Here is a 20,192-nt window from a genome sequence, read left to right as displayed (position 1 = left end):
TAGAGACAGGGTTTCACCATGTTAGCCAGGATGGTCTCGATCACCTGACCTCGTGATCTGCCTGCCTCGGCCTCCCAAAGTGCTGGGATTACAGGCGTGAGTCACCACGCCTGGCTGGATTATTTCTTAATTGACATTTGTTTTTTCCACCTTCCTCTGTATTTTGGGTTTGAATTTTTACTTTTTATTTGTGAATGCCTTCTGGTGATGGTTCTCCAGGTCTGGTGTGGACACGCTGTATCTTTTTTTCTGCTAGCTCTTCCTCCTTCTGCCTCCCCCTGGCATAATTTGCGTCTTCTGTCTCTCTGTTCTGGCTGACTGATGGTTGTGGTAGCTGGTTCTCCTCTGAATCTCCCTGGCAAATTAGCAACAGAAGCAGTGATCCCTGCATCCTGGAAATAAGCAGTTAAAATACCAGGAAGAATCTAAAGCTATATTTTTTCTGAAGAATACCCAGAAAAACTCATTAGCCAGGCTTAGTAAAACCTGAATTACAGATCTTTTTAAAAGATGCAATTATACTGCTTTCAAGTACATTTTGAGCTAGTAAATTAAACACACATACACACACACAAAAACAAACAAAAAACTGTTGCCTACTCAATTCCATGAATGTTTATTGAGAGCCTGCTGGGTAAGCTCTGGGGATATAAGATGAACAGAAGCATTCTCTGAGCTATGGGAAAGACAAGGATGTCAATGGACAAAGATTCCTTGCTTGGCCAAACTTTAGCCACACTTCGAAATCTTCTGCTAGGCCCATCTGTACACTTCCATGTAAAATCCAGTTTTAGCAAAAGAATCTGTGAAGTCATTTTAGCCAGAATCCCCCATTCTCTAATACCTGATCATCCTCAGTGTCTGATTGGGTTCCTCAGCCACTACCATCCCCCAGTTGCTATCTGATCACCCTGGCCCGTCTTCAGCAAGAATCCTGTTAGATCGGTTTAGCCAGAATCTTTCCTACTCCTCATGTTTCCTCTTAGTGATTTTCCACCCACTGACCCCCACCCTCCTTCTTGGCTGTAAAGCTTCACCTGTTTAGGCTGTACTTGGAGTCTAGCCACTCCTTCCCTCCCACTGCAAGACCCAGTTGCAGTGGTCCCTCTGCCTATCGTGACGGACCTGAACAAAGTCCTTACTCTGCCTTAACAAGTATCATTGAATAATTTTTTCTTTAACACAACAAATAATTATATCACCCTGTGAAAGGCAGTATAATGAAGGTCTGTACTGGGGGAGAAGGAGAAAGGAGAGGAGGAAGGCGGAAGTATTGTAGTTAACTACTTGGGTGAATTCATTAGGTTTCTTAGAAGAATTAACATTTGGACTTGGTCTTTGAAGGAGGGATAAAACATACCATCTGACAGGGGTCTTGGGAGAAGTGGGTGGGGTGGTGGTCATGGTTGAGTGCTGAATCTACAAGGCCAGATACACTTTACGTGCTCGTGAGAGGCAGAGTTGTGCAGCACTGACTCTGGATCCTGCTCCTGGGTTCACATGCTTGGTCTCCTGTTGACCAGCAGTGTGACCTTGGCAAGTCCCTTCACTTTCTCTCTGTTTCAGTTTCTTCATCTGTAACTGGGGATAATAATAGGACCTGCTTCATAGGATTATTAGGCTGATTTAGAGAGTAATTTTAATGTGCTTTGAACACATTATCATTACACATAGCAAGTACTATGTAAGGGTTTGATAAATAAATAAATCAAACCCTACAGAGTAGAGGGTTTCCAGCTCCCATAGAGGGAAAGGCAAGAATTTGCAGCTAAGAAATCTGAGAAGGTGGCAGCACCAGTGGCAGCGTAGTTCTGGGTCTTCTCCTATATCCACGTAAAAAAAGACACAGCGACTAGAGAGCAGACCCAAAAGCTCAGGAACAACATTTAGAGCTAGACTAGGTGGCAGAGTATCCTCATGAGCCCCAACATACCAGCTGATGGGGACACACTACCAACAGCTTCACAGCTGGCATATTATTTGCATTTGTGTGCAACAGGGCATCGGATGGGTCTGGGAACAGGAGACCCTAAAATAGCCATCAACTATTTACTGGGAAGCTTGTCTGGCCAATTTGAGATAAGCAGCTGAAAATGAGAGGATTTTTGCCCAGCAAGGTCTAAGGGGCCAGAGCAGTCAGGCCCTTCTGATGACTTGAAACTGACTCACTAGGGCTCTGTTCTGGGACTGGGCCCTGCTACAAGAGAAACTGCTGAGAGCAGAGTGAAAATTGATCAAGAAGTGATGTAAGAGGTGAAAGAATGAGAAAATAGAGATGAAAATTGGGGAGGGGGAGATAGCCAGGAATTGTCATAGAGGAAGCTGCTATATTTTTAAAAGCAGCTTTGTGTATAATTCACATATTTAAAAACCCTATAATAATTATACAATTTGGTTGTTTTTAATAAATGTATATAGGCGGGGCATGGTGGCTCACGCCTATAATCTCAGCACTTTGGGAGGCCGAGGTGGGTGGATCACCTGATGTCAGGAGTTCAAGACCAGCCTGGCCAGCATGGTGAAACCCCATCTCTACTAAAAATACAAAAATTAGCCAGGCTTGGTGACAGCCGCCTGTAATCCCAAGTACTCGAGAGGCTGAGGCAGGAGAATCTCTTGAACCCGGGAGGTAGAGGTTGCAGTGAGCCAAGATTGCGCCATTGCACTCCAGCCTGAGCGACAAGAGTGAGACTATCTCTAAAAAAAAAAAAAAAAATTTATACAGCTGTGCAATCATCTTCACAATTCAGTTTCAGAACATTCCCTTTAGCTCGAAAAGTTCCTTGTGCCTGTTCGTCAATTCCTTCTGCCACCCCCTGCCCCAGGCAACCACTTATTTGCTCTGTGGCTCTGTGTCTATAGATTCGCCTTTTCTAGAAATTTTGCATAAATGTAATCATAGAATACGTAGTTGATTGTGTCTCACTTTTTTTTTCTTTTTTTGAGACAGAGTTTCGCTCTTGTTGCCCAGGCTGGAGTGTGATGACGTGATCTCGGCTCACTGCAAACTCCGCCTCCTGGATTCAAGTGATTCTCCTGCTTCAGCCTCCCAAGTAGCTGGGATTATAGGCATGTGCCACCACGCTCAGCTAATTTTTTTGTGTTTTTAATAGAGACAAAGTTTCTCCATGTTAGTCAGGCTGGTCTCGAACTCCCGACCTCAGGTGATCTGCCTGCCTCCACCTCCCAAAGTGCTGGGATTACAGGCGTGAGCCACCGCACCCGGCCTGTGTCTCACTTCTTTCACTTGGCATACTGTTGTTGAGGTTCACTCCCATCGTAGCATGTATCAGCAGGTCATTCCTTTTTATTGTGGAGCTGTCATTATTATTACATTGTATGGATATACTACATTTTTGTTTATTTATTTACCAACTGATGGACATTTGGATTGTTCTTGCTTTTTGACTATTATGAATGAAGCTGCTGTGAACATTCATGGGCTGATCTTTTTGTAAACATGTGTTTTCACTTCCCTTGGGTAGATTCATAGGAGTGGGATTGATGGGTCATATGGTAAGTTTGTGTTTCACTTTTTAGGAAACCATCCCATGGTACCATTTTACGTTCCTGCCGGCAATGTATGAGAGCTCCAGCTTTTTTTCTCTTTAGCTCTTGGCATTGTCAGTTTTTTGAATTAGAGCCATTCTAGTAAGTTTGTAGTAGTATCAGTAGTATCCCATTGTGATTTTAATTAATTTACATTTTTCTAATGATTAACAAAGTTCAGCAAATTTTCATGTGCTTCTGAGCATTCTTGCTGGGCGCAGTGGCTCATGCCTGTAATCCCTGAACTTTGGGAAGCTGAGGTGAGCGGATCACCTGAGGTCAGGAGTTTAAGACCAGCCTGGCCAAAATGGTGAAACCCTGTCTCTACTAAAAATACAAAAATTAGTGGGGCATGGTGGTGTGCACTTGTAGTCTCAGCTACTTGGGAGGCTGAGGCACAAGAATTGCTTGAACCTGGGAGGTGGAGGATGCAGTGAGCCGAGATTGCTCTACTGTACTCCAGCCCGGGTGACAGAATGAGTCTCCGTCTCAAAAAAAAGGTATTCTTAGTATTCCTCTGTGGTGAAATGTCTGTTCAAAACTTTTGCCCTGTTTTCAATTGGATTGTTGTCTTCTCATTTAGTTGTTGAAAAGTCTGTTCTTTTCACGTTGGATTGCATTGACACGTTAGTAAAAAAAAATAATTTAACATAAACATAAAGGTTTGTTTCTGGAGTCTCTATTTTGTTTCATTGATCTGTATGTCTGTCTTTAAGCCAATACCACACTGTCTTGAATATAGTAGCTTTATAGTAAGTTTTGAAATTAGGTAGTATAAGTCCTCCAACTTAGTTCTTTTTAAAAATTATTTTGGCTATTTTCAGGCTTTGACATTCCCCCATAAAATTTAGAATCAGCTTGCCAATTTCTGTCAAAAAAGAAAAAAAAAAGCCTGCCAGCGTTTTGATAAAGGTGGTACTGAATCTTTAGATCAATTTGGGCAGAATTGCCAGATTCACAGTAGCAAATATTCTAATCCAACCTCTCTCCATTTATTTAGATCTTCTTTGATTTCTCTCAAAAATGTTTTGTAGTTTTCAGCTTTTGTATTTTCTGTTAAATCCATTCCTAAGTATTTCATTCACTTCATGTGATTGTGAATTGCTTTCTTAATTTCATTTTCAAATTATTTTTTGTTATTGAAAACTTTTGATTTTTATATATGGATGTTGTATCCTGCAAACTGACTAATCTCTTGAATTAATTTTTATAATTTTGTAATAGATTGCTTAGGATTTTTACATATAGGATCATGTCATCTGTGAATATAAACAATTTTACTTTTTTCTGTTCAATCTCGATCCCTTTTATTTCTATTTATTGCCTTATTGCATTGTCGAGAATCTCCAGTACAATGTTGAATAAAAGTGGCAAGAGCAGACATCCTTATTGTATTCCTGATCTTAGAAAGCATTCAGTCTTTCACCATTAAGTATGATGTTAGCTGTAGGTTTTTGATAGATGCCTCTTGTCTCTAGTAATATTCTTTGATTTAAAGTCTGTCTTACCAGGTATTAATATAGCCACACTACTTCTCTTATGGTTACTGTTTACATAATATATTTTTTTGTCCTTTTATTTTCAACCTATTTGTGTCTTTGAATTAAAGTGTCTCTATCTCTTATACATAGCATATGGGTGGATCTTGGTTTTTTAATCTAGTATAAACCTTTTTGCCTTTTGAATGGATTGTATACATACACATTTAATGTAACTATTGATATGATTGGATTTACACCTACTATTTTTGCCCTTTGTTTCTGTATGTCTTATGTCTTTTTTGATTCTTCATTCCTCCTTTCTACCCTTTTTAATGGTTGTTAAAAAATAGTTTTTTAGTATACCATTTAAATTCCTCTGTTGATTTTTAACTGCATTTTTTTGGAAAAAATTTTCTGTTTTCAGCTGGGCACAGTGGCTCACGCCTGTAATCCCAGCACTTTGGGGGGCAAAGGCGGGTGGATCACCTGAGGCCAGAAGTTTGAGACCAGCCTGGCCAACATGGCAAAACCCCGTCTTCACTAAGAATACAAAAGTTATCTGGGCATGGTGGTGGGCACCTGTAATCCCAGCTACTTGGGGGGCTGAGGCATGAGAATTGCTTGAACCAGCGAGGCAGAGGTTGCAGTGAGCTGATATTGCACCAGTGCACTCCAGCCTGGGCAACAGAGCGAGACTCCATCGGGAGAAAAAATAATTCTGTTTTCTCTATGGATTATAATATATATCTTTAAACTATCACAGTCAACTTCAAGTTAGTATTGACTTAATTTCAGTACTAGCAACTTTGCTCCAATATAGCTTCATTTCCCCCGTCTTCTTTGTGTTATAAAAACAATGTAATATATTAATTTTCCCTTTACACAATGTTATTTTTTAAAGATATTAAAAGAAGAAAAGATAAAACAATATTTATACAGTCTTTTATATTTACCCACATATTTACATCTCTGGTGCTTTTATTAGTTTATTCCTATATATTCCTATGACCCTCTGATATCATTTGCTTGTCATCTGAAGGCTTCCCTAAAATTTTGTATTGGGCAGGTCTACTAACAATGAATTCTCTCACTTTTTGCTTAGGTGGGAATGTTTTTATTTTTTCCTCATTTTTGAAGGATAGTTTTACTGGATATAGAATTCTTGATTGACAAGGTGTTGTTGTTTTTGTTTTTTCTTCAGAAGTTTGAATACCTACCTCAGAGATATTGTAGGTTTGGTTTCAGACCATACAATAATGTCAATAAAACAAGTCACATGAATTTTTTGGTTTCCCAGCACATATAAAAGTTATATTTACACTATACTGTATTCTGTTAAGTATGCAATAACATTATGTCCAGAAAAGAGTACATACCTTAGTTAAAAAATACTTTATTGCTAAAAAATGCTCAGTCGTCTGAGCGTTCAGCAAGTCATATCTTTTTGCTGGTAGAGGGTTTTGCTTTGATGTTAATACCTGCTGACTGATGGGGTGGTGGTTGCTGAAGTTTGGGGTGGCTGTGGCAATTTCTTAAAATAAGACAACAATGAAGTGTACCACATTGATGGACTCTTCCTTTCATAAAAGATTTCTCTGTAGCATGCAATGCTGTTTCATAGCATTTTACCCACAGTAGAACTTTTTCAAAATTGGAATCAATCCTCTCAAACCCTACTGCTGTCTTATCAACTAAGTTGATATACTATTCTGAATCCTTTGTTGTTATTACCACAGTGTTCACAGAATCTTCACCAGGAGTAGATTCCATTTCAAGAAACTTATTTCTTTGTATATCTGTAAGAGCAATTCCTCATCCATTCAAGTTTCATCATGAGATTGCCACAGTTCAGTCACATCTTCAGGCCCCACTTCTAATTCTAGTTCTCTTGCTATTATCACCATGCCTGCAGTTACTTCCTCCACTGAAGATTTGAAGCCCTCAAAGTCATTCATGAGAGCTAGAAACAATTTATTCCAAGCTCCAGTTCTTCTTGATATTTGGATGTCCTCCCATGAATCACAAGTGTTCTTAGTGGTATCTAGAATGGTGAATCCTTTCCAGAGGTTTTCTTTTTTTTTTTTTTTCAAGTAGAAAAGTTTATCCAAAATATTGACAGTTAGCAGCCTGAAAATACAATTTCTTTTCTTTTTTTTTTTTTTCTGGCACATAAGGTTTTTTTTTTTTTAACGAAAGAGAAACTATAAAAATGCACATGAAATTGCACTCATTAGAAGAGATTTAATTTTTACATAAACTTGGATTTGCCACTGGTTAGATTTGAGCCCTCAAACATAAATTATATATAAATAAGGGTTGATGTCAATTAATATTATGCTAGACTTATGCCATGACAAAAGCATTATAAAATAATACCACTCTTTAAGATACAAATTATGTAATTGCTCATAAATATTCTTTTTTTTCAGGTTGAGAAATTATTATTATTATTTTATTATTATACTTTATGTTTTAGGGTACATGTGCACAATGTGCAGGTTTGTTACATATGTATACTTGTGCCATGTTGGTGTGCTGCACCCATTAACTCGTCATTTAGCATTAGGTATATCTCCTAATGCTATCCCTCCCCCCTCCCCCCACCCCACAACAGTCCCCGGTGTGTGATGTTCCCCTTCCTGTGTCCATGTGTTCTCATTGTTCAATTCCCACCTATGAGTGAGAACGTGTGGTGTTTGGTTTTTTGTCCTTGTGATAGTTTGCTGAGAATGATGGTTTCCAGCTTCATCCATGTCCCTACAAAGGACATGAACTCATCATTTTTTATGGCTGCATAGTATTCCATGGTGTATATGTGCCACATTTTCTGAATCCAGTCTATCATTGTTGGACATTTGGGTTGGTTCCAAGTCTTTGCTATTGTGAATAGTGCCGCAATAAACATACGTGTGCATGTGTCTTTATAGCAGCATGATTTATAATCCTTTGGGTATATACCCGGTAATGGGATGGCTGGGTCAAATGGTATTTCTAGTTCTAGATCCCTGAGGAATCACCACACCAACTTCCACAATGGTTGAACTAGTTTACAGTCCCACCAACAGTGTAAAAGTGTTCCTATTTCTCCACATCCTCTCCAGCACCTGTTGTTTCCTGACTTTTTAATGATCGCCATTCTAACTGGTGTGAGATGGTATCTCATTGTGGTTTTGATTTGCATTTCTCTGATGGCCAGTGATGGTGAGCATTTTTTCATGTGTTTTTTGGCTGCATAAATGTCTTCTTTTGAGAAGTGTCTGTTCATATCCTTCACCCACTTTTTGATGGGGTTGTTTGTTTTTTTCTTGTAAATTTGTTTGAGTTCATTGTAGATTCCTTTCCAGAGGTTTTCAATTTGCTTTTCCCAGATCCATCAGAGGAATCACTATCTATGGTAAACAGTAAGTCAGAATTACTCCTTGACCCTTGGGCTACAGAATGGATGTTGTGTTAGCAGGCATGAAAACAACTTTTATCTCCTTATACATCTCCATCAGAGCTCTTGGGTGACCAGGTACATTGTCAATGAGCAGTAATATCTGGAAAGGAATCCTTTCTTTTGAGTGCATCTGAACAGTGGGCTTCAAATATTCAGTGAACCATGCTGTAAACAGATGTGCTTTCATCCAGGCTTTATTGTTCCATTTACAGAGCACAGGCAGAGTCAATTTAGCATAATTCTTAAGGGCCCTAGGATTTTCAAAATGGTAAATGAGCATTGGTTTCAACTCAAAGTCACCAGTTGCATTAGCTCCTGCAAGAGAGTCAGCCTGTCCTTTGAAGCTTTGTAGCCAGGCGTTGACTTCTCTGTAGCTACGAAAGTCGTAGATAACATTTTCTTCCAATAGAAGGCTGTTTCATCTACATTGAAAATCTGTTGTTTACTATAGGCACCTTCATTAATGACCTCAGCTAGAACTTCTGGATAACTTTCTGTAGCTTCTATATCAACACTTGCTGCTTCACCTTGCACTTTTTTTTTTTTTTTTTTTTTTTTTGAGATGGAGTCTCGCACTGTCGCCTGGGCTGGAGTGCAGTGGTGTGACCTTGGCTCACTGCAACCTCCACCTCCTGGGTTCTAGCTGTTCTCCTGCCTCAGCCTCTGGAGTAGCTGGGATTACAGGCACCCATCACCACGCCTGGCTAATTTTTTGTATTTTTAGTAGATGTGGGGTTTCACTATGTTGGCCAGGCTGGTCTCGAGCTCCTAACCTCGTGATCCGCCCGCCTCGGCCTCCCAAAGTGCTGGGATTACAGGCGTGAGCCACCACACCTTTCCACCTTGCACTTTTATATCATAGAAACAGCTTCTTTCCTTCAACCTCATAAACCAGCCTCTGCCAGGTTCAAACTTTTCCTCTGCATCTTCTTCACCTCTCTCAGCCTTCAAAGAATTGAAGAGAATTAGGGCCTTGCTCTAGATTAGGCTTTGGTTTAAGGGAATGTTGAGGCTGCTTTAATCTTCTATCCAGACCATGCAGACTTTTTCCCTATCAGCAATAAGGCTCTTTTGCTTTTTTTAAAAAATTATTTTTATCATTTGTGTGTTGACTGGAGTAGGCACTTTTAATTTTCTTCAAGCAGTCTTCCTTTGCATTTTCAACTTGACTAAGTGTTTGGTACAAAAGGCCCCACTTTCAGCCCATCTTGGCTTTTGGCAGACCTTCCTCACTAATCTTAATTATTTCCAGCTTTTGATTTAAAGTAAGAGATGTGCAATTCTTCCTTTCACTTGAACTTTAAAGGCCATTGTAGGGTTGTTAATTGGCCTCATTTCAATATTATGTCTCAGGGAATAGGGAAGACCAAGGAAAGGGAGAGAGATGGGGAAATGGCTGGTCAGTGGGGCACATATACAACATTTATTGATCAAGTTTGCCATCTTAGGTGGGCATGGTTTGTGGCACCCCCAAACAATTATGGTATTATCAAAGATCACTGATAACAGATGATGAAAATAATTGATGGTGGTATTATTAGTATTATTCTGAAACTTCTCATATAACACGGAATAAAGCAACTGAGTAGTTATGGAATGTTCTAATTCCATCATCCCCTGTGTCCTTGAGAATGAATATTCTTGCTATGGAAGAAAGGAAAAAGCAGATTTAAGATAGAAGTAGTCTAGGAAAAACTGTAGTCCTGAATTTGAATAATCAAATTGGAAATATCAGTATGAAATCTGAGGTATTTGTGTCTATGTATGTGTGTGTATGTATATGCATGTGCATATACACACATATGTACATGTATGTGTGTATGTGTTTATATGTGAGAGAGAGAGTTCTCGCTAAGGTGACCGAACCATTAGCAGTGAACATCCCTAGCTCCTAGATTTGATCTTGAAGTATCAGCTTTCAATAAAAGAAACCTCATGCCAGTTCTGGGGCAGGAAATGTATAAGATGAGCCTGGAACACCTTTACCTACATCCGTATAGCGAAGAAGCTATCAAAGATTCCTAGGTCATTTTAAAAGGACTCGGGTCAAATATAGGATAGTTTGAATTTCAAGAAGGGTAAAAATTGCAATAGACTAATCAAATGAGCTTAAGTTCATGAGTTCTAATTCAGTATTTTGAAAACTAAGCAAATAAATGGAAAACATAAAACATTTTACTATGTGTACTAAGCCACTGGAAAGCCAAATATTAGATGAAACATCTTATAAAAATTATTCCAGGGCTGGGTGTGGTGGCTCACCCCTGTAATCCCAGCACTTTGGGAGGCTGAGGCGGGTGGATCATGAGGTCAGGAGATCGAGACCATCCTGGTTAACACAGTGAAACCCCATCTCTACTAAAAATACAAAAAAATTAGCCAGGTGTGGTGGCAGGTGCCTGTAGTCCCAGCTACTCAGGAGGCTGAGGCAGGAGAATGGTGTGAACCCGGGAGGTGGAGCTTGCAGTGAGCCGAGATTGCGCCACTGCACCCAGCCTGGGCAACAGAGCGAGACTCCATCTCAAAAAAAAAAAAAAAAAAAATTATTCCAGCTAATAAATGAAAATGCAGTGGGAGAATTAGAATGTCACCACTTAGTAACTCCCGGGAGATTGATGCTGAAAGTGTTGAATACCAAGGGCTGCTAATGTCAGAACAAGAGCACAACACTGCTGAAGTCTTGCCAAAGGGATCGACCCTGAATTGATCAAGCCTGCGGATCTAGCTGCCAAATTGCAGGAAATACAGAGAACAGAGGCATGTATTGAACTGTAGCATGAATGTGCAGTTTTCTAGCCAGTGGGAAACTCTATAGGCTGAACAGTTCAGGTTTTCTCTAGCAGATAAGTTGTAAGAAAAAGAGGTAGTGGGGAAGGTGTAAAGTAGGAGCGATTTTGAAGAATCGTCAAGTGAAAAAAAGTGGACAAGGCTATAGGGTAGGGATGCCTACGTGAGGAACAAAGCAATTAACCAGAAAAGTCAGGGTAGTTGTTACTTTTAGTTGGAGGGGGCTGTTCATTGGCATGTGGTGAATGGCGGTGTCTTTATTTTTTTTGGTGGTGGTTACATGGTGTGTGCCTTCTAATAGTCCCTTACGCCATACAATTGTTTTATATGGCTTTCGGTATCTATATTTTATCGAATAAAATATTAAGAAAGAATTGAGGGGGTCAATGAAATATGGGCTAGAACAGTACCCAGCAGAGGGCAGGGGAGGGAATCCCTGCCCTGGGAACCCAGAGGCCGGGTGGGAATCAGGTCCTGGCTCAGCCCCTCCTAGAGCTGTTGGGCCAGACTCCCTTCTTCTCTCTCTGGGACTCAGTTTCCCTCCTTATCAGTTGCGAGTAACGAATTCCTGCCTGTGTCACTAGGTTGGCTGGCAGATCATCTGGAATAATGAGTTGGGGAATGGCATGGAACCAGTTAGTGGTATCTCAGAAGAAGATGATGGCTGACCTTTCCTGGGCAGTGACTGTGACCTTTCATCCTCACAACAGCTACATGAGTAGGTGTGCAGCTGGATCATACTCCATCCTAGTGGGAGGGACCCAGTCTCTGTCCTGAAGAAGCCCAGTCTCTTGTGGGGACTTTCTTGATGAGAGAGTGAAATAATTTTAATTACCATGTCAGTGGTTTGTTAGTAAATGGCAGCTCCTCTGGATGGCTTAGAGGGGCTTGAAATAGCTTATTCCCCTGAGCAAATTAAATATTCTCCTCACAGATCATGTTTGCTCTGCTGATGTGCTTAGCAAAGCTTTTTCTTTTCTGTAGATAGAGCCAAGGTAAACCTGAGCTTCGCGTCGGAGTGAGTGAGTGTGAACTCTGACTGGGAAAGCCAAATAAATGAGGTGCTGTGCGATGAAAGAACTGACTTCAGAGGGTTGACTTCTGGTCAGAGCGTCTTCTGTGTTGTCGCCATCTTATCAATGTTAGTCTTTTTCCCCGACACCATCTTTCTTCTGAGTCCTGTTTCTGCTGTGAAGCTCAGACGCCTCAGCATAAATTCTCTGCTACCCCTTTGTCACCCACTCCCAGTGGGATCCCATCCCGTTCTTTGCAGCCAGATGTGTCTAGGTTCAGAGACTTCAGCTGGCCTGTGCCGCTGGGAGCCTTCCCAGGCTGCTCTCCTGTCCCTGGGATGCCTTTGTTTTGCGTCATAGGAGGTAGTCACATTTTCCAGTTTGACTGCAGGCTTCTGCACGACAGGGATCATCTTCACCTTCCCTTAGCACTGGCATCAGATAGGGCCTGAGTTCAAATCCCAGCTCTTCTGCTGTGGGCTGTGTGATCATGGGCATGTTCCCTGTTATTTCTAAGCCTGTGTTTCCTCATGTATAAAGCTACAATTGAGAAGAAGAGTTTGGTGTAGTACATCGTAGAAACCGGTTCAGATTCTGCACTGTTTTCTATTAAACCAAAGGTTCACAATCACACCAGTGGCTGCTTTTGGCTTTTAGCCAGTAAATGTTTGTATGTGGAATGAAGGGCCGGATGGTGGGACGTAGCAGCTGGTTGGGGAAAGGCGGAGGATTCACGTGTTTTTGAGCATGGAGTCAGAAGCTTTCCAGGTGCCATCTCATTGCATATGGCAAGTAGGTGTTAGTCCTATTTTGCAGATGAGGAAGAGACAAGGTGAAGCCCGTTGGCCAGTCCTTCCCCATCTCAGTGCATGCCTGGCATCTGGTACTTGTTCCCCTTGCCATGTTCCCAGATGGCTCACATTCCATGCTCACTTCCAGTCCTTCTTCTCATGAGCCTCCTCAACCTTTGCCCTTTTTGTCTTCTCTCCCCAGCAGATTTGCCTTTCCCAGGCCCAAGCGGGTTATCTGGTCCCACTCCTGAGAATGTGTGACAATCCCATCGGCACTGTGCTGCCTCAAACTGAGCAGCACTGCTTTGTTTCCCCAAGAAAAATATCAGAGGCTTTTATTTACCAATTTAATGGCAAAGAGCCTCCCTTCCCTGTTGAGTTTCTATGTTATGGTTTTGAACTGGAGGCCTGTAGGCTTGCGACGCCTGTCGTCCCACAGTCTGTCTTCACCCACCTCTGCTACCTGCTTGGCTTCTGCAGCCATTTGGACTGCTGACCCCTGCACATGTAATGGTCTTTTTTTTTCCCTTTCTTTCAAATGATCCCCTTGGATTTTTTTCTCACTGTTCTAGCTTTGAAATGTGGTCGCCAGAGTTGTGTTGGAAATGCAGTTCTCCTGTCAATTGAATGGAAGTGAACGTTGCACTCTTATCCTCACACTCGAACTTCCAGCTCAAGTGCTTGTGGTGCGTTTGGAGGGACTTTCCTCCCCTTGACATCCTTTCTGCCTTTTTTTCCTCTCCATAGCCCAGTCGAGGGGATGGACAGGGTGGCCAGAAGTTCTTTTCCTATGTGACTTTGCCACTCAGAATTGATGAATGAAGTCATTTTGTTAGCAGGACATTTTTACCTTCCAGATTGTCTTTTTTCTGCACTTTTCTGGACTATTAAAAACGAATATTGTTGGCCTGTGCCCATCAGTGTTCTGTGCAGCTAATTGAGCCCCGTCTTATGAAGCAGGCTGACGGGGACCCCGCCCTCATGCTTGTCTTCCAGCTCTGGCCAGGTCTGGAGCAGACACTTCCCCAGTGGAAGTGGCGAGCTTTCCTCTCCAGCTTTGTGTTATGGGCTCATAAAGCTTTAGTGGTTCACTTTTGAGTTCAAATTTTTTAGTGTGATCTGGCCCTTCTTGATGAACTCAGAACAGTCTCCACACGCTCACTGTGCTAAGTGTGATGGAGCAGTCAGGATTCACACCTGCCAGACACGCGGTCATCTGTCCGTGCCCCACCCCAAAGCCGTGGCTGGAGACTGTTCCCCTGCCCCCGTCAGGGGCACCAGCACTCTTAGGAGATGTCACATCATTTCCCAGGAGGGTGACCACAAGGCCCCAGAGAAAGTTTTTTACTGTTCTTACCTGACATGGGTTGTCTTTTGTCATTGTGAGCCAGACCTGGGAATTACATAGGGAGTTCCTGGGACATGGTAGACTTTCAGTAAATAGCAAAGAGGATCAATGAATCAAACTGGGGAATATCTTTTTTCCTTCAAAATTAAATGACTTCAAAGAAGTAAAGCAGATTTTCATATGCTATAAATTGACTGGAAAACAGATTCCAGAATTCCAAAAGTTTTTTTTTTTTAAAACAATGATAGAGTTTTGAGGCTAACAGAAGTAATAATGGCAAATACTTAAAAAGCACTTCCTACATTTACTGACTAGTTTAATTCTTACAACAAATCAATGAGGTGGATACAGTTGTTACTGACTAGTTTAATTCTTACGACAGTGAGGTGGGTACAGTTACTCAATGAGGTGGGTACAGTTGTTACTGACTAGTTTAATTCTTACAACAGTGAGGTGGGTACAGTTACCCAATGAGGGCAATACAGTTGTTACTGACTAGTTTAATTCTTACAGCAGTGAGGTGGGTATGGTTAAATGAGGTGGGTACAGTTGTTATTTCCATTTTATAAGGAAACTGTGGCACAGGCACTTGCCCAAGGTCAACAATTAATAAATGGCAAAGCTTGGACTTGAACTCATGCTGTCCGGCTCCAGGGTCTGTAACCATGACTCTATTTTGTCTCTTTACATTCGGGTATATAGATAAACATATGGATTCCCGGGTGAAGGACAATCCTTATATGATAGATAAGTTCGGATTGGTTTGTTTTAAGTATTATTAGGTTGAGGAGTCCAAGTGTGTTTGGATACCATTAGGGTTAAACTGAACATCATTAAAATACAAGTTCATGAGGACTCACGTCTGCTGACTGGCTTACCATTGCGTTCACTGTGCCTCACTTCTTAGTGCATAGTAGGTATGAGTGTTCTCTCTCTCTCTTTCCATATATATATATATATATATATATACACACACACACACATATACATATATACACATATATACACACACACACAGATATATATGGAGAGAGAAATATATATTTGTGTGTGTGTATATATATATATATATATACGTTTCTTTTGGAATGAGTACTGATATTCTTTGACTCATTCCCAGAGGTTGAAAGGAAGGATGTGAGATGGGGCAAGGCTTTCTACACTTCCTGTTTCTCAGAGACTCGGAGCTTAGGGGAGTGGAGGGGACAGGTGAAGGGCAGGCGAGTTGCTCTTCTGGCTGGGCTGTCAGAGCAGTCTGGCCACTTTTCATTCTTAGGCCTTGTGCACGCCTGTTGGAAGGACTTGTTTATGTGTTCCTGTCCTGGCCCCTGAAGTATGAACTCCAAGAAGCCACTCTCTGTGACTTCTTTGACTTTATGTGTCTGGTGCCACTTACACTGCCTGGGCCGTAGTCCCTACTCCCTGTACTGTGTGCTGCCTGGCCGGCTGACCAAATGTATAATTGACTCTGCTTTTGTCACGAGGAAGCCTCAATTGCTGAGGTAGTCCAAAAAATGTTGTTAAGCCCAGTACAGCTCTCATAAGGTTTGAGGTGAGACATCCGGAAGCCTCGCCTGCTTGTTCTCATCTCGGCGTGGATGGCTGTCACACCCTCCGTCACTATATCCAGGCTGCAGCTGGCTTGCTCCATGGGTAAGAGAGAGCCCTTCGCTAACGAGGCCAAGGTTGTGGGTTTGATCCCTGGCCCCTGACTGCAGCAAGCCATCTGTCTTCACAAATGCGTGTCATTGGATATGAGGAGGAGAGTATGTACAGAGGGGGAAGCTGGACTCCATTCTGGGAAAAACAGCTCCCTGACAGCCGGCCACAGTGTCCTTTTGGACTGTGAAGGGTATCTGTTCTTCTCCCACTTTCCAGATCTGGGTATCTGGTTTTGATTTCAGCCTTTTTCAAGATAGATGATACTAAGGGTTACGTAAATTCTCAAGCCTGAGAACTAAAAGTGATGGACCTAGAAGATACATGGTATGTATCTGCTTTTCCGGAGTTGTAAGTGTTGACAATATCCAGAATGACATTGTCTTTGTCAACACTTACAACTCTGGAAAAGCAGATACATACCATAAGGGTATACGTATATGATGATGGGATGTATCTCATGGTATACCAAGTACCTGCTTTAGTTGTTCCCTTTGTAACTGAGATAACTCTTTTCAGCAAGGAGATGGGGAAAGGGGTCTGGGAATATAAGATGGTGCTCACTCTTTTCTTTCTTTTGGGGGTGCCCAGCTTGTTAAACGTCACTGGTACTGGCTGGCCCTGTAAGGCAGTTGAGACAAGGAGTGGTGGGTACACAGGGGGCCTTTGCCTTCACAATGATTGCAGTTTGGTTGGTGAACAGATATAAACTCAAATGAAAATCAGTATGGAAAGGTATAAAGTGCTATCTAGGCTGGCCTCAGCCCTGGGTCTTGACCCTGCAGACAGAGGAGCAAGTGTGAAGGCACAAGGGCAGGAAAGTTTCCCTGAAATGCCTGGAACTTTTCTTTAAAAAACCTCAAAATCTCCATTATCCACGTAGCTCTCTAGAAACTGCTAGGCTGGGCATGCCACTGGTGTAGGAGTACTGCTCCCCCAGGTCTCCACGCTATAAGCAAAGCCCCCGAGGGCATACTAGGCTGTTCTAGTTAAGAGAGTGCAGTGCTTTGCTGCCTGCTGAACTGTGTTCAGTGAGAAAGAAGGAGAAAAGAAACGGGTAGGAAATGTATCCCCTCATTGTCTTGGTTCATTCGGCTCATGATGGTTCTTTTTCATTCAACAAATATTAATTGGGTGCTTCCTGTATGCCAGGCTCCGTTTCAGAGGCTTGGGTTATGTCAGTGAATAAAGCCAAGGCCTCTGTCTTGGAGGCACTTACATTTTTGTGGGGATGTGAAGCCATCTAAGCTCCCTGAGGCAGGGACGGTGTCCCCTGCTCAACAGTGTGTCCTCAGGGACCAACCTGGCCTTGGCTGAGAAACATTGCTCAGTCATTGTGGAAGTAACCTAGTGCTTCAGCATTTCAGGAGTGCTGGTTGGTGAGAAGAAAACATGGAGAAAGGCAGACGGTTTCTTTGCTCTTTGAGATCTACTGGGTTGACTTATTGTGTTTGATCTTTAGTTATAAGATTCTCAGCCACATAAGAGAAAAAAATATTGAATAGACTCTAGCAGGCCTCCTTTTCCTCATTACCCAGGAAATTGACCCAGTCTTTTATTCACACTACTACTTTGAGTTTCCACGACAATGACAGGTGATATTGAATTTAAGTGTATTGGTGCCTAGGTCAGATTTTGAGGTCTGAAGATAATTTGGAAGGACAAGTTAAAGGGAAGAATTGTCTTTTCCCACCCTACTCCCAAGAAATAAAAGGAGAAATAACAACACAACAAAAATGTATTGAGCTTATTATTGAAGTAGCCACTCATTACAAGCTGAAATGATTCTCATGTCCCCAAATTTCTCTAGCCTTGGTTTTCCATTTTGATTTTGGAGCTCTGGCCTTCTTCCCATTTACATTTCCTCCTTGGTTTGATCACAGAGGGACAGATGGCAATATTAAAGAGCCGAGAATGTGGTTCAGAGTCATAGAACAGGACGAAACCAGGTGCGGTAAGCTTGTACGTTAGAATGTACATTTCAGAGCCTGGAAAGGTGCTGCCATGGGGCCCAAGGGGGAACTGGAACCTATCGCCAGGACAGAGGGTCGAGAGGGAGGGTTGAATGCTGGCGAATCAGCAGACAAGCCCTGGAAGGAGGTTCAGCAGGAGGAGGATAAAACCAGATAGAAAAGATAGGAGAGAAGAAAAGATGGAAGTAGGTCAAGGGAAGAGTAGACTATGTCCCCATGAAAAGTGGTAGGCTTTCCTGCCAGTGGAAAAACAAGGATTTGAATGAGAGCAAGGCTGTGGGACTCTGGCCTGAGCTCTCCATAATGGGCTGAGGACAGTGATGTTGGTGAGCGGAAGCAGAGCTTTGCCTGTCAGGCGGAACGAGCAGCTGGTGCTCCGGGGACCTGCAGGCCCTTTCCTCCTTGGTCCCAGCCGAGCTGTTGGGAACGATTCCAAGTGGAAGGAAATGCACCCAGCTCAGGAAGCTTGTGAAGTAAAGTGCAGGAGATGAACCCCAAGTTCTGACAGCTTGCCAGAGTGCCCGCTGAGTGAATGCTGGCAGGAACATTTGTTTTGAGAATAGTTTACCATAATGAATTCTGACATCATTGCACTCTCTCAGGCAAGGGTGTTGAAATGGAATAAATGACCTAATGTCAGGGATTTGTGGAAACCCTCAAAACAGGGAGATTGGGAGATTCCTTGGCTCTCTTATCTTCATTTTGAGTGGAGTTTTAAGCAACAGTTCCTTCTTAGATGTTTAATTGATCTCAACATTTTAAGAATTAACTAACAGTTTGAAGATATGAAAGCAATCGTGTGGGTTTTGTTTGCCTCTCTCAAATTGGGTTATCTCATAGCATTTGGAATAGAATTCTTGCAAGTTAACTTCCTCTTTTTTTTGTTCTGATTATCCGTGTACTTGAACATTTTTCCTTTTCTGCTCTCATGGCAACAGTGGAAGCGATTAGTTGAATAAAATTATGATTATGTGATTTAAACATGTTTGGAAGACAGGATTTCCTGGGAATCATGCTTTTACATTTGGGCACTTTAAGATGTGCCTGTTTCACCTCTTCTTGCTGTCCGATTGATCTGTGGTGGGGCGGGCACCCTTCTGGGTGCCGCATTCATTGCAATGGGTTGTAGCTTCAGGCCTTCTCAGCTCTGTGGTTACTGTGGCTTCTTTGTTTACAAGCAGATGCTTCCCAGATTGAGGAAGAATTTGCTTCTGAATCTTAAACTCTCTCCAGGAATAAACTGGAAACAGTTTGAGAAAAACTTGTATTTGCTTCAAAGGCTTAATTGGGAATACGCACCCAGTGGCTGGTGTTGCCTCATCCTGCCTGGCCTCCTTCGGGGCGGAGACTTCCTCCGTTCCTCCACCAGAGGGCCTCGGTCCTGCATGGGAGAAACCGTCTTGCACCTTAACGGGGGAATTGAATTTCTCTACCCGTCATTGATCTCTTTCGGCAGCCCAGGGCATTACCCGCATTCACTGGACTTCTTCACCTGGGCCAACGGATTTTCTTTCCAGTTTTGGACCAGTAATGAGTATCTTATTAGCTGTCATCACTGGGACACACAGAATTTATGTTATAAATATATGAAGTAATTTGCATATTAATGATGCAAAACATAGACCTGAACTCTTGGATTCATATTTTGTTCCTTCCTCTAGAGTTACACTTCTGTTTTAGAGCTTATGTGTACCCAGGAAGGTAACAGAGTACGGTAGAAAGCTCCCAGCTCACTCTCTCACTGGGCCTGTGAGCTTGAGCAGGCCCTTCACTTCTGTGTCATAACGGACCAGATTCTGTTGGATCATTTATAGCTGGAAAATTCTGTGCTTCTGTAACTGTCTAAGTAGCTTACTCTGTTTCCTAGGACACTGGAAACATTCTGAATGACCAGTTCCTATTTGTAGGCTTCCCTGGGTTACAATATTTAGGTTTGATCCTGCTTATTCCAGGCCTGATTTCTACCTGGTAAATCAGCCCCTTCAACCAGGGTCTCCACTTATGTTGCCTCAGTCACAGCTTATTTCATACAATTCAAAGTACCATCCCTTCTGTACCCAGTAGGAGTTTAATCCGTGATTCTGGAACAAAGTTAGACTACCATATCCATTCCCATCCTTTGTTTAGCTGTAGCTATTTCCTTCCCGCCGTG

At 42.2% G+C, this 20,192-nt stretch overlaps 1 protein-coding gene and 1 long non-coding RNA gene across 4 annotated transcripts in view; one reads left to right on the top strand and one right to left on the bottom strand.

Annotated features, from left to right (window-relative positions):
* TTC7B (tetratricopeptide repeat domain 7B) overlaps window positions 1-20,192 on the top strand; it is a 291,867-nt gene that overhangs the window by 99,257 nt on the left and 172,418 nt on the right. The window lies entirely within an intron of this gene.
* Window positions 17,800-19,841, bottom strand: TTC7B-AS2 (TTC7B antisense RNA 2). Its single transcript, NR_135190.1, has 2 exons — window positions 19,510-19,841; window positions 17,800-19,421 (listed from the first exon to the last, which is right to left on the bottom strand). It is a non-coding gene; the product is annotated as a TTC7B antisense RNA 2 (long non-coding RNA).

The sequence above is a fragment of the Homo sapiens genome, chromosome 14 (genome assembly GCF_000001405.40).
Source record: "Homo sapiens chromosome 14, GRCh38.p14 Primary Assembly".
Lineage (NCBI taxonomy): Eukaryota > Metazoa > Chordata > Mammalia > Primates > Hominidae > Homo > Homo sapiens.
Note: the sequence above shows the minus strand (reverse complement) of the source record. Positions and strands in the feature narration are given on the sequence as shown.